This window comes from Homo sapiens, chromosome 5 (genome assembly GCF_000001405.40).
Source record: "Homo sapiens chromosome 5, GRCh38.p14 Primary Assembly".
Classification (NCBI taxonomy): Eukaryota; Metazoa; Chordata; class Mammalia; order Primates; family Hominidae; genus Homo; species Homo sapiens.
Window position 1 is genome coordinate 115,081,408 of NC_000005.10, and position 12,629 is coordinate 115,094,036.

Genomic DNA, 12,629 nt, shown 5'->3' on the forward strand with positions numbered 1-12,629 from the left:
GGACCACTGGATGGATTGGAACTACAGCTTCATTAATAAAGCAGAGGTCCTGAACTAGTCTCCATCCCCCATTGGGTTTCTGTACTCCTAACGTTGGGGTGTTGCATGGGCTATTACAGGGTTTGAGGAGGTCCTGCATCTTTAGGTTATTAATAATGGCTTCTAGCCCTTTCCTAGCCTCTGGCCTTAGGGGATATTGTCTCTGGTTAGGAAAAGAAGATGGATCTGGACTGGCCTAGAGGTTATAGCTCAACCTATTCTTCCTTGAGTTGCCCACACTTCTTGATTAATATTAGCTTCCATCAGGGAGAGACAAAGAGTTTGTCCTGGGGCTATACGGATGCTGGCCCCCATGCGAGCTAGAATATCTCTACCTGATAAAGGAGTGGGACTTTCAGGCATGATTAAAAAGACATGTGTAAATAATAGGTACCCCCCTCATCTGCAGCTAAGGGGTTGAGAAAAATATTGGATTAGAGTTTTTCCTGAGACACCACTTACAGCCGCGCTATGGGAAGAGGGGAGGCCTAGATTCAAGAGGAGAAGAGAGAGACTAGCTCCAGTATTCAGAAAGAGATCTACCTTCCTTCCTTCAATTTCCAGAATCACCCGGAGATCCTGTGCTGTAATGGCAGTCTGAGCTGCTGGAGCTAGGGGTTCAAGCCCTGGCACCTCTCAGTCCTGCTGGACCATCTGTAAGACTGGTTCTGAACCCAGTGATCTCCATCTCCAGGGGCAGTTTGATTCTCCAGTGGTCTCTGCCACAGGCTGGACAGGGTCAAGGTGGCTTCTTCTTGCTGCCTGGGCATTCCCTCTTAAAATGCACTGACTTGTGATGTTGATAACAGCTAGTGGATGCGCCCTGGGGATCCAGGACTTTGCAAGCTTGCAACGCTGCTACTACAGCCTCTGTCCTTCTCTTGGTTTCCTCTCCTTTCCTTGGGCCTCCTCCTGATCCCTACTGCAAAAGGCCAAAGTGGCTATTCTCATGAGGTTTTCTAGGGTGCTATCTGGTCCTATAGCTTGCTTCTGTAGTTTTCTTCTAATATTGGGAGCTGCCTACATAATAAACTTGTCCTTCAGGATGAGCTGCCCCTCGACTGAATTGGGGGATAAAGAAGTGTGTTTTATTAGTGCCTTTCTCAGCCTTTCCATAAAGGCTGTGGGATTCTCATCTGGTTTTTAGTCTATCATGGACAGCTTAATTAAGAGGTTTGGCCCTGGTTTTTCATAAGCCTCTAGTATGCATATTAAAAAGTGCTTCCTTTTCCATTCATCTACTGATTTACTGGGGTTCCAATCAGGGTTGTCTACCAGAACTGCTTCTCTTCCTAGTGGGAATGGAGTTTCCATTACTTCTTCACCTTTCCCATCCCCTTTTCTCTCTTTGGTCTGCTATAGGAGACATGCTGCTCATCGCCACATTTTTCTGCTGCCTGCAGAACTGCCTGCTTTTCGGCTGCAGTAAGGGTCTGACCTAGGAGCAACATAACATCCCTCTGTGTGAGGTCAAACGCCTGAGTTAAATTTTGGAAAGTTTCTATATATCTATCGGGGTCATCAGAAAATTGGCCTAAGTCTCCCCTTATTTGCTTAAGGTCCTGTAATGAGAGGGGAACATGAACCCTCATGGCACCATTTCCATCAGACATTTCCTGCAGAGGTAAAAAGTGGGGAAAGTGGGTAATACTGGAGATGGTAGAGCTGGAGGAGCTGATGGTATGACTGGAGGGGGTTCTGGATGAGGGGCACTAGGAGGGTTGGGACATTCAACAGCTGTCTCAGATTGCTCCTCTGGAATCTGCTTTAGCTCTGGGGAACTATTCCCTGTGGGTTTGCCTGCCATGGCTGCTAAGAGAACTAGGTCCATTGTGCAAAGCTTGTAAAGGTTTGGGTTGTGTTGCAGGGCAAAGAAAGCCTGTACATAGGAGACCTCAGGCTATTTGCCCTTCTGTCTACAGAAAAGATCTAATTGTTGGATAATATTAAAATCAAGGCTCCCTCCAGCAGGCCAGGTTTGTCTGTCCCCAAGATGGTAAGAAGGCCATGCCCTGTGCAACAGAATATGAGGCAATTTTTATTCAAAGTCTCAGGGTCACAGGAGTCCCAGTGCTTTAGAATACACTCCAGGGGAGTGCATGCTGAAGATGATCTGTTACCCATCTAGAAAGAGAAGTGAGAAGAAGGTGTCCCTGAAGTCTCCTTCCTTTCTGTGTGAGACCCAGGGTAGAGAAGAAGATAGTGGGAGCATCCCCCCTGACTGTTTTTTCCTCCTTGGTTCCTGGCACCCTGTTAAATGTGCCACCCATGGTTGTAGGCATGACCCTCCAAACCATGGCAACAGAGATACTAAGCTATTGGGCTAGTCACAGTCACCCAAGTACCTCTAGTCATCAGCCTGTGATTTCCCTTTGACTTCCTAGACTTGTGTGACCTGTGTGCCTCCCTCAAAAAAAAAAAAAAATACCTTGGGAAAGATGATATAAAAGGCAAGTCTCCTTTAATGGAGGGAATGTGATAGATTGCCTGCTATTATGGTCCATGCTAAAGCATTTACCCTTAGAAAAATGGTTCTGTTTAACTTCCGGACTTAAAATCCCCTTACTAATTAAGTACTGTCTTAATCAGAGACAGAATAGGTGTCTTAAAGGGACATGGGGACCTAATGGCGATTTTCCTGCTAATGGGACAGTATCGGGACTAAAATTTGGCTGCAGAGGACATTTTACTCCTAATTGTTGAAGGCAGAACTTTCCCATTCACAGAAGCAGCATAAAGCCTGGTTTCCAATAGAAAGGTGGAAAAAGGAAAAATTGGGAAGCTGCAATGTTCAGCAGAGGACCAGCAATGTGTCTTATAAAGAGGATTTATATTTCCATTAGGTGGGCTCTTGGCTTAGAAATACCACGTACTCACCAGAGGAATAGTAGCGAATGACCTCACTATGGGGGAAAGGGAAGACCTCTGTTGCTAGAAGAGTGCAGCGGTATTGTCCTGAGCTATATCCCCGGTTACTACAGCATTTCCTGATCTTGCCTAATAGGATTACTTCCCTAGGCTATAAAAACTCATACATATTCAATACACAGAGAGAATAAGAGACAAAGCAACCACAGATAGAAAAAGAAGGAAAGTTTTGTGACAGGATAGCTGGAGATCCTTCAACAACACCTGGGCAGGCTGTCAGAGGCTGGGTCCGGTCCAGAAGCCTTTGAATAACACCAGGGTGTGCCCCAGCCAGAAATTCTTAGTTGCTTCAGGACTTTTCCCAGCCTCACACAATGGCTAAGATTCCCCGTGAAAAGAAGATAGTTTGAAGCATGGCCAACATTCCCAGTGACCCATGGGTATTCGGGGGTTCTCCATGTTCTCCCCAGCAAGCCTGACATCCAAATCTTTAAGAACGTCTGCCATGCTAGCGTATCTAGACAGCTGACAGATGCCCATTATTGATTTGATTTTTTTTTTTTTTTGAGACAGAGACTTGCTCTGTCACCCAGGCTGGAGTGCAGTGGCATGATCTTGGCTCACTGCAACCTCCAATCCCAGGTTCAAGCAATTCTTGTGCATCAGCCTCCCAAGTAGCTGGGACTACAAGCATGCACCACTACACCTAGCTAATTTCTTGTGTGTGTATTTTTAGTAGAGATGGGGTTTCACCATGTTGCCCAGGCTGGTCTTGAACTCTTGAGCTCAGGCAGTCTGCCCACCTTGGCCTCCCAAAGTGCTAGGATTACAGGCATGAGCCACTGTGCCTGGTCAATTTGATTTGATTTTAAAATGGAGGCCAAGAGCTTGGAATGAAAGGACAGATTTTGAGTTTACTCCTCTGCTCACCGCTCTGATGAATGTTGTAGCTTGGCTTCCTGGCCAACACACCACTACATTTAAGATTAGGCCTGAGGAGGTCTGGCAGACACAACTAAGTTACACGGAAGGGTGACCCAGATGCTAAGTTGCCAAACTCTTGAACTCTTGCCGCTTCCTTAGTTCTTACCTATGACCTTGTGAGGGATTTCCTAAGATCAGCTGGTGGAGAGAGAAAAAAATAAAGCTCTCCCAGTAGAAAGAGCTTTGAGCAGCACATGTAGTCATTAACTGTTGGGGGGAGGAAAAAGTGGCCAGAGGCAGAGATATTCAAGAACTCCTGGGAAGTGGTAAACAGCTCTGTTGGCTGGTCAGGGCCTGAAAAAAGAAAGGGAGAAATATTGGAAGATAGGATCAAGGAAGTCTGGAGAAGGAGCACATGTATATGTCTTTGTGATTCAGGTCAGTGCCTACCAGATCATTCATCAAAGAGGGCTTACACAGGAAGACTCATCCTGTGCTGGTAGTCAGCCTCTGTTCTCAGGCACTCCATTGTTTTCACAGTAAGTTGTGACTAGAGTAATCATGGTGGCAGGGATGGAAGCTATGCCAAAGCCTGATAGCACAGGCCCTTCTTATCAAGAATACTTTAGTTACTACCACTGCTAAATATCAGTATCAGAAACCAATACTAGCCAGGTGCAGTGCTCACATCTGTAACCCCAGCACTTTGGGAGGCCAAGGCAGGAGGATTACTTGATGCTAGGAATTTGAGACCAGCCTGAGAAACACAGTGAGACCCCATTTCTACAAAAAAATTAGCCAGGCATGGTGGTTCATACCTGTAGTCTCAGCTACTCAGGAGGCTGAGGCAGGAAGATCACTTGAGTCCAGGAGTTCAGGGCTACAGTGAGCTATGATTGTGCCACACTGCACTCTAGCCTGGGCAACAGAGTGAGACCCTGTCTCAAGAATAAACGATTATTTTTTTAATAAAAATTTTAAAAAGAAACTAAGACAGGCACAATGGCTCGTGCCTGTAATCCCCGCAATTTGGGAGGCTAAGGCAGAAGGAATGCTTGAGCCTGTGAGTTCAAGACCAGCCTGGGCAACATAGGGAAACCCCATCTCTACAAAAAAGTAAAAACTAGTTGTGTGTGGTGGCACACTTGTGGTCACAGCTACTGGGAAGCCTGGGAGGTCAAGGCTTCAGTGAGTGGTGATTGCACCACTGCTTCACTGCTTTCCAGCCTGGGCAACAGAATAAGACAGGAGTGAAGGGAAGGAGGGAGAGAGAGGGAGGGAGGGAGAGAGGGAAGGAAGGAGGGAGGGAGGGAGGGAGGGAGGGAGGGAGGGAGAGGAAAGAAACCAATACTGAGCCCTAAATATGGCATACATTCCCTCAAGGAAGCCAATAAATCACTTGGTGACAAGTTGATTTCCTTACACACTAGAGAAGCAGTGATTCATCTTTACTGGGACGGATGTGTAGTCCAGGTAACATTTGCCTTCTTTGCCTATACTGCCTATATCAACATGATTATTGGAGGGTTCATAGAGTATGTGACTTACCAGTAAGAGGTCCTATATAACATCTACTTGGACTAAGGGACCCACTTTATAACAATGCAACAATGGGCACATGTTCACAGGATCCACTGGTGCTATCATTTACCACTCCACCCAGAAGGCTGCCAGTGTGATAGAACATTGGAATAACCTGTTAAAGACACAGCTATTGTTCCAGCTTGGGAATGTCACCCAGTTGAGGTGTAGTCCTTCAAGATAAGATATAAACATTGAATCAACAGACATTATGTGGTTAGTGTCCTGAGTAGTTAAAATACATAGGACTAGAAATGAAGGGGTATGAGTAGGAATAACCCCTGATATGGTCTGAATGTTTTTGTCCCCCAAAAACTCTTACGTTGAAATCTTAAACCCTAAGTTGATGGTATTAGGAGGTGGGGGACTTTGGAAAGTGATTAGGTCATGAGAGTGGCACCTTTATGAATTGGATTAGTGCCCTTATTAAAAAAAAGGCCCAAGAGACCTAGATCATTGCTTCCAACATGCAAGTTTACAGTAGAAGTTGCAGTCTGCAACCCGAAGAAGGCCTTTGCCAGAACTCAATTATGCTGGTAACATGATCTCAGATTTCCAGCCCCCAGAACTGTGAGAAATGCATTTCTGTGGTCTGTAAGCCACCCAGTGTGTGGTATTTTGTTATAACAGCCCAAATGGACCAAGATTTGGGCCAAGCCCAAATGGACAACCCCTCTCACCATCACTTCCAGTGAACCACTTATGTATGTTGGGATTCCTCTCCTTACCACTTTAGGTTCTGCAGGGTTAGAAATTTTAGTCTACGGGCATGGAATATACACAACAGAGTTCTACTAAACCTAAAGTTACCACTGCTTCCTGATCATCTGGGGATCCTCTATAGAAGTTAATAGACTAGCAGGCATAACTGATGAGGACTGTGATGAGGAGACATGGTTGCTGCTATATAGTGGGAGCAGGGAGAATGTCAGTGGATCACTGGGGTGCCCGTTAATGCTTCCATAACCTTCCAAGTGCAAGATCACCAGGGAGCCAGACTCAACAGGGAAGAAGGTCTGATCATCCCATTAGGTGAGCAACCTAGACCAGTAGAAACATTAACTAAAGAGGAGGGGATTCCAGAATGAACATTCTGTGAAGGAGAGGATGAATATCCCCACAGCCTGGGAACAACTGCAGCAGCATCCCACCAACCACCCTGCTGTTACATCCTTCCATCAGGGGTATGATTAAGGCCATTTTAAAGAATTAGTGACAGAGTGAACTTAACATGGGCACGTTAATAAGCAATACAAAGGACGTGCTGTGAAAGATGCACTCATGCCCTGCCCATATCCCCTTGACACACCCTGGAGGTCATCTGAAGACAACTCCCTTACTGTCCACTGGCTTCCTGTGCCTCTCAGCCCGCAGGCACTCTCCAGCCCAGGACTGTGCTTGGCTCACACATGGGGCAGGCTGGAAGTACCAGGGAGTTAATGTCTCAGAGACTGTCAACCAGAGCTGAAACTGATAATGACCCAGCTTTCTCACCTCTTGGTGGGAAATGTTGGGATTATTTTCCACAGTTTCTTAGAAGGATCTTAATAAGAGTGAGCTCCAGTCACCCTCAAAAAGTAACCCATTATTAGTGCAGCCTCAATGGCTTTCTTCCTTTTCCTGGCTCACTTCCCCACGTTCACCCACCGCATCCTGTGATCACCTTCCTATTCAACTTCTTACACCCAAATCCTTGACTAAAGTCTACTTTTGGGGGAAACCCAGGTTAAGATAAAAAGACAAAGAAAATTATCATATTTTCCAACTAACAGAATAATATGTGGCCAATGAAAATATGTACATAGAAATACAGAAAGATGCATGGTTTACAATATTAACTGAAAAACAATTGTTTGTCTATTCTAATTACAACCACAAGTAAGTAAAAACAGATCCTTGGGATGGAAATATACAGGGATGATCATCACTTGTTGGGGCTGAGGAAAAACATTTTTTAAGGAGGGAGAAATTAGAGTGTTAAAGTGCCCAGGGTTCAAGTGAGATAAGCGTGACATTACTCCCTGTTATGTTTGGACTTTTGTGCGCAGCATTGTTCTCAGCAGTCACAGATCTGCTGGTTGCAGCAAGATCACCACCATCCTCAGTACTGCCAATTATTTTCCCCAAAGCTGCTCATTTACTCACAAAGGATGGGAAAGCTCAGTTGATTCTGGCTGTGGCTGTAGAAAGCCTAGATTGGAGAAGCCAGACTAGCAATATGCAATGCTCATAAATTAATCCTGGTTTGGAAGAAAAGCTTGACTTACAGGTTTGGATATTCAGTAGCAAAACCCTGTACCCCACAAACTACAATTAAGTATAACCTGTCTTCTGAGTCCAGGGGGACTGAAAGTGACTAAGCCATAAGAATGACCTATATGGCCTCTGGCATTGGAAATTTTCCTTTTACTGAGAAAAAACAGATTAGCATATGCCAATGGCCAGACCATAAATGAAAAAGATTTAATTATTTACCATATAAAAGTATAAAGCATTTGGGGGGAAACTATACTACAAAAAAGAAAGTCAGAGCTGGGTGTGGTGGTGTGCTCCTGTAATCCCAGCTATTTGGGATGCTGAGGCAGGAGGATCACTTGAGCCCAGGAGATAAGAGACCAGCCTGGGCAACACAGGGACACCTTAATCTCAAAAAAAGAAAAACTCAAGAGCTAAACAAGAAACTGGGGGAAAAAAATCTTGCAATATATATGGCAAAGGGTTAATATCCTTAATAAATAAAAAAAGAAGACAGATGGTGAATAATCTTTATTCATCAGTTTCACCAACATATTTGCCCTGAACAGGATTGTCAGCTCTCAGTAGATATCTGGAACTCTATGCTGACTTAGGAGGAAAATTTAAATAGTCTACTGGTAAAAAGAAGTCAGCATTTGTCAGTGACAGTAGAACTGCTAGAAACTAGAGAAATCCAGGAAAAGCATGGCTTCATTTCCATGTTTTCACACTGAGCAAAATGAGGAAAGGAAAGTGTTATATTGGGGCTGAACTGGCACATTTAAAATATAGAACAACTTATAACCCTGTGTTCTGGGGCTTCCTGAAAGTTAACAAAGATCTAGCAAGCTACAGGGGAAATAAATAATAGGAGAATCATTCAATAACAGCTCTGTCTTTAATAAAGCTAATGTTTTGACAATTTTATAATGTTTGTATGGTTTTTGTTTTGTGGTAAGCTCAGAAGTAATCACAAAATATAATATGAAAGCATTATTATGATAAAAATAAAAACAACAAAAACAGATTGAACTAAGAGCAAAGGAAATCAATTCAATACCTTGCATTTCTCAAGGACTGATAGCTACACAGAGGGAGATAGCTACCAATACTGTAATTTGAGGGGCCCTAGAAAGGCTCCAGTGGAGATAATTCCTCTCATTTCCTCCTCTGAAATTCAGCCTTTGAAATTTAATTCGTTAAGATCTCAAACGCCTTTGGTTTCTTATGCTAATAAGGACAAGGATATCAGCCTAAAGTCATTTCCAACTATCACCCTTTCAAGGCCCCAGTGGAAAGAGAATTGAGACTAGAAAATGAGGTGAGAACCCTAAAAAGGGGAAACCTGGGAGGAGGCAAATACACATTTCTAACCATTCTAGTTGTACCAAGGTCAACATATCTCCCAGGCACACACATCACACAGGGACATCTGAAAGGGAGAGAACTGACAAGGAAACCTGCATAGATTCTAGAGCAGGTGCTCGCTAAGGTGTAACTTGCTGGCTTAGAAGGTACTGGCAAAGACACAGGGTTGCAGACATCGACTTCTTAGCAGATATCCTCCCACTCACTGCCTCAGCCTTCAGGGCTTCTTCAGAATTTCACAAATGCACCTTTGTTGTTGTTGTTGTTGTTGTTGTTGTTGTTATTGTTGTTGTGACAGATATTTGCTCTGTTGCCCAGGGTGGAGTGCGATGGTACTGGCTCAGCTCACTGCAACCTCCTCCTCACAGGTTCAAGCAATTCTCCTGCCTCAGCCTCCCAAGTAGCCAGGATTACAGGGGCCCACGACCATGCCTGGCTAATTTTTGTATTTTTAGTAGAGACGGGGTTTCACCATGTTGGCCAGGCTGGTCTGGAACTCCTGACCTCTGGTTATCCACCTGCCTCAGCCTCCCAACTTGAGCCACCGCACCTGGCCACAAATGCACCATTTCAAAGGAGTTTCCCCCAAGATGAATAATTGCCCCAGCGGTGGGCTTCCAACTTCCCTGCAGCCATGCCTGCCCTCTGCATTTGCATATCTTGCTGGGTTTTCACAACAAAAAGAGTTGGTCACAGGTGAATCAGCAGCTCAAGAAAAGCACAAATATTTTTCTGAGAAAATAAAATAAAAAGCTAAAAGCTTGCAAAGCCACCAGATGCTGAATACCTCAGAAAAAGAATTGCTTTGTAATACTGCTTTGAAAGGAGCTTTCTAAGCAGATGAGGTTCTCCCTCCTTCTAAACCACCTCCCAGCAAACCAGATATTCAGGTCATTCTCATTACTTTCTGGGGGTATCTCCATAGTTTAGAAGGCAAGATCACAAATTTTTTTTTTTTTTCCTGAGACAGGGAGCTCTGTTGCCCAGGCTGGAGCGCAGTGGCAGGATCACCACTCACTGCTGCCTCAGGCTCCCAGGCTCAAGCAATTCTTCCATCTCACCCCTATGAGAAGCTGAGACTACAGGCATGCCACCTTGCCTGGCTAATTTTTTTTTTAATAGAGATGGGACTCTCCTTATGTTGCCCAGGCTTGTCTCAAACTCTTGGACTCAAGAGATCCTCCTGCATCAGCCTCCCAAAGTGCTGAGATTACAGGCATGAGCCCCCATGCCTAGCCATAAGGTCACTAAGTTCCAAAGAAAACTAACATTTCTTTAGCACTTACCAATGTCAGGCACTATGAAAGTGACTTTCATGCATTTAATCCTTAATTCACCTCTATTTTGGGTATGAGAATAATTATCCCTGTTTTACAAATGTAGGAACTGGTACTTATAGAGCTCAAACCTATGCTCAAAGTCAGCAACTGAGGCAGAGCCAGACAGCAAAGTAAAAAGAAAAGCCTGCTGACACTACAGCTAGAGCCCTTCCCCTTCTGCACTGTACTCTCAGATTCACAAATATGGGGAAAAAAATGCACCTAAACTTGGCCAAGATCTACAAAGGTCAATTGAATAAAGGAGCTAGAAATACTTGGGTGAGCTTTACTGGGGAAAGGGGGGAGGGAAGTAAAAAGTGGCTCCTCCACTACTTAAATAGTGTCAGTACAGTAATTCATGAAGCAGGTACTTACGAGCTCATGCTGTGTGCTAGACAGTGTTCTGAGCACGGGAGATGGACTAGAGGGGGACAAATCAAATCCCTAACCTCATGGAGTTTAGATTGATAATGAAGACCTACAACATTGCAGCTGGCAGTGAGAGACAGGACTAGCTGGATTTCCTAGGCCAACTAAGAATCCCTAAGCCTAGCTGGGAAGGTGACCACATCTACCTTGAAACACAGGGCTTGCAACTTGGCTCACACCTGACCAATCAGCTAGTAAAGACAGCTCACTAAAAGGCTAATTCGGCTAAAACAGGAGGTAAATAAATAGCCAATCATCTATCACCTGAGAGCAGAGGGGGATGGATAATGATCGGGATACAACCCCAGGCATTCCAGCCAGCAATGTCAACGCCCTTAGGGTCCCCTCCCACTGTATGGGAGCTCTGTTTTCACTCTATTAAATCTTGCAACTGCACACTCTCTGGTCTGTGTTTATTCCCGTTCGAATTGAGCTTTTCCTCACCATCCACCACTGCTGATAGCTGTCGTTGCAGACACCGCTGCTGACTTCCACCCCTCCGGATCTGGCAGGGTGTCTGCTGCACTTCTGATCCAGCGAGGCGGCACCCAATTGGGCTAGAGGCTCCCCATTGTTCCTGCCTGGGGTTTGTCCTAATCGAGCTGAATAGAGCTATAACACTCACTGCATGGCCCAAGATTCCATTCCTTGGAATCCATGAGGCCAAGAACCCCAGGTCAGAGAACAAGAGGCTTGCCACCATCTTGGAAGCCGCCCACCACCTTCTTGGAAGCAGCCCACCACCATCCTGGGAGCTCTAAGAACGAGGACACCCCGGTAACAGCAGCATGGGCTATGAAGAAAAACAAGGAAAAGTGGTGTGATTTTGGAAAGGGTGGCCAGGGAAAGCCTCTCTGAGGAGAAGACACTTGAGCAAGAGGCCTACCTGAAGCAAAGGAGTCAGCCATCCACAGGGCTGAGGGAAGAGTTTAGGCTGAGGCACCGTAAGTGCAAAAGCTCTGAGGAGTTCATCTGACTTGTTCCAGGAACAGCCAGGCCAGTGAGTCAGGATATCCATGAGTGAGGAAGACTGGTAGGAGAGGAGGTCAGAGAACCAGCTATGGGACAGGTAATAGGACTGTGTTTCTCAAATTTTAGCCGGTCTCAGTCTCACTAGCATACCCTGTGTGTGAAAACTCATTTTGCTGGCTACCCCTAGAGTTTCTGCCTCAATAGGTGGGGCCTGCGAATTTGCATTTCTAACAAGTTCCCAAGTGATACTGATCCTGCTGGCCTGGGGACCGCAGTATGGCAGCCTTCCAAGTCCTGATAAGACTTTGAATTATGTTCTAAATGTGACTGGAAGCACTGGAAGATTCTGAGCAGAGGATGAAGAAAAGTTATAATGGGACAAGGGTAGAAGCACGGAACCAGAATGGAAGCCATTACAAGAGTTCAGGCAAGAAATAGTGATGGTCTAGAATGAGAGCAGCTGTGTTGGAAAGTGGGGAAATGGTCGGACTCAGACTTTCTGAAGGTAGTACTGATGCACTTGTTCATGGACCTATGTGACATGAGAGGCAAAGAGAAATCAAGAGGTGAGTCCTAGGCTGTAGACTGACCTACTGAATGGAAGCATTTGCTAAAATGGGAAGATAATTTTGGAATTGGGTTTCATTTTGAACACAATTACTTTGAGATTCCCATTAGACATCCAAGTGGGGTAGTGAGTGGGCAGATAAATTACACGTCTCAAGCCTTGGGAGACGTCCAGGACAGAGGTATAAATTTGAAAGGTATATTTTTATAACCAATAGGTACAATAATAGGGCTAGATGAGATCATGAGAGAGTGAGTGCAAATGCTCACTCTCTCTTGGCCCAAATACTGAGCCCTGAGGCACACAGAGTAGACAGAGAAGGAACA

At 45.1% G+C, this 12,629-nt stretch overlaps 2 annotated features.

Moving 5' to 3' along the window:
* Window positions 9,117-9,616: an enhancer, noted in NCBI's record as "NANOG-H3K27ac-H3K4me1 hESC enhancer chr5:114426221-114426720 (GRCh37/hg19 assembly coordinates)". NCBI's record gives its function as "activates a minimal SCP1, AML or CMV promoter by ChIP-STARR-seq in naive H9 embryonic stem cells {active_cell/tissue: H9 hESC(naive)}" and the evidence as "EXISTENCE:reporter gene assay evidence [ECO:0000049][PMID:30033119]".
* Window positions 9,617-10,118: an enhancer, noted in NCBI's record as "NANOG-H3K27ac-H3K4me1 hESC enhancer chr5:114426721-114427222 (GRCh37/hg19 assembly coordinates)". NCBI's record gives its function as "activates a minimal SCP1, AML or CMV promoter by ChIP-STARR-seq in naive H9 embryonic stem cells {active_cell/tissue: H9 hESC(naive)}" and the evidence as "EXISTENCE:reporter gene assay evidence [ECO:0000049][PMID:30033119]".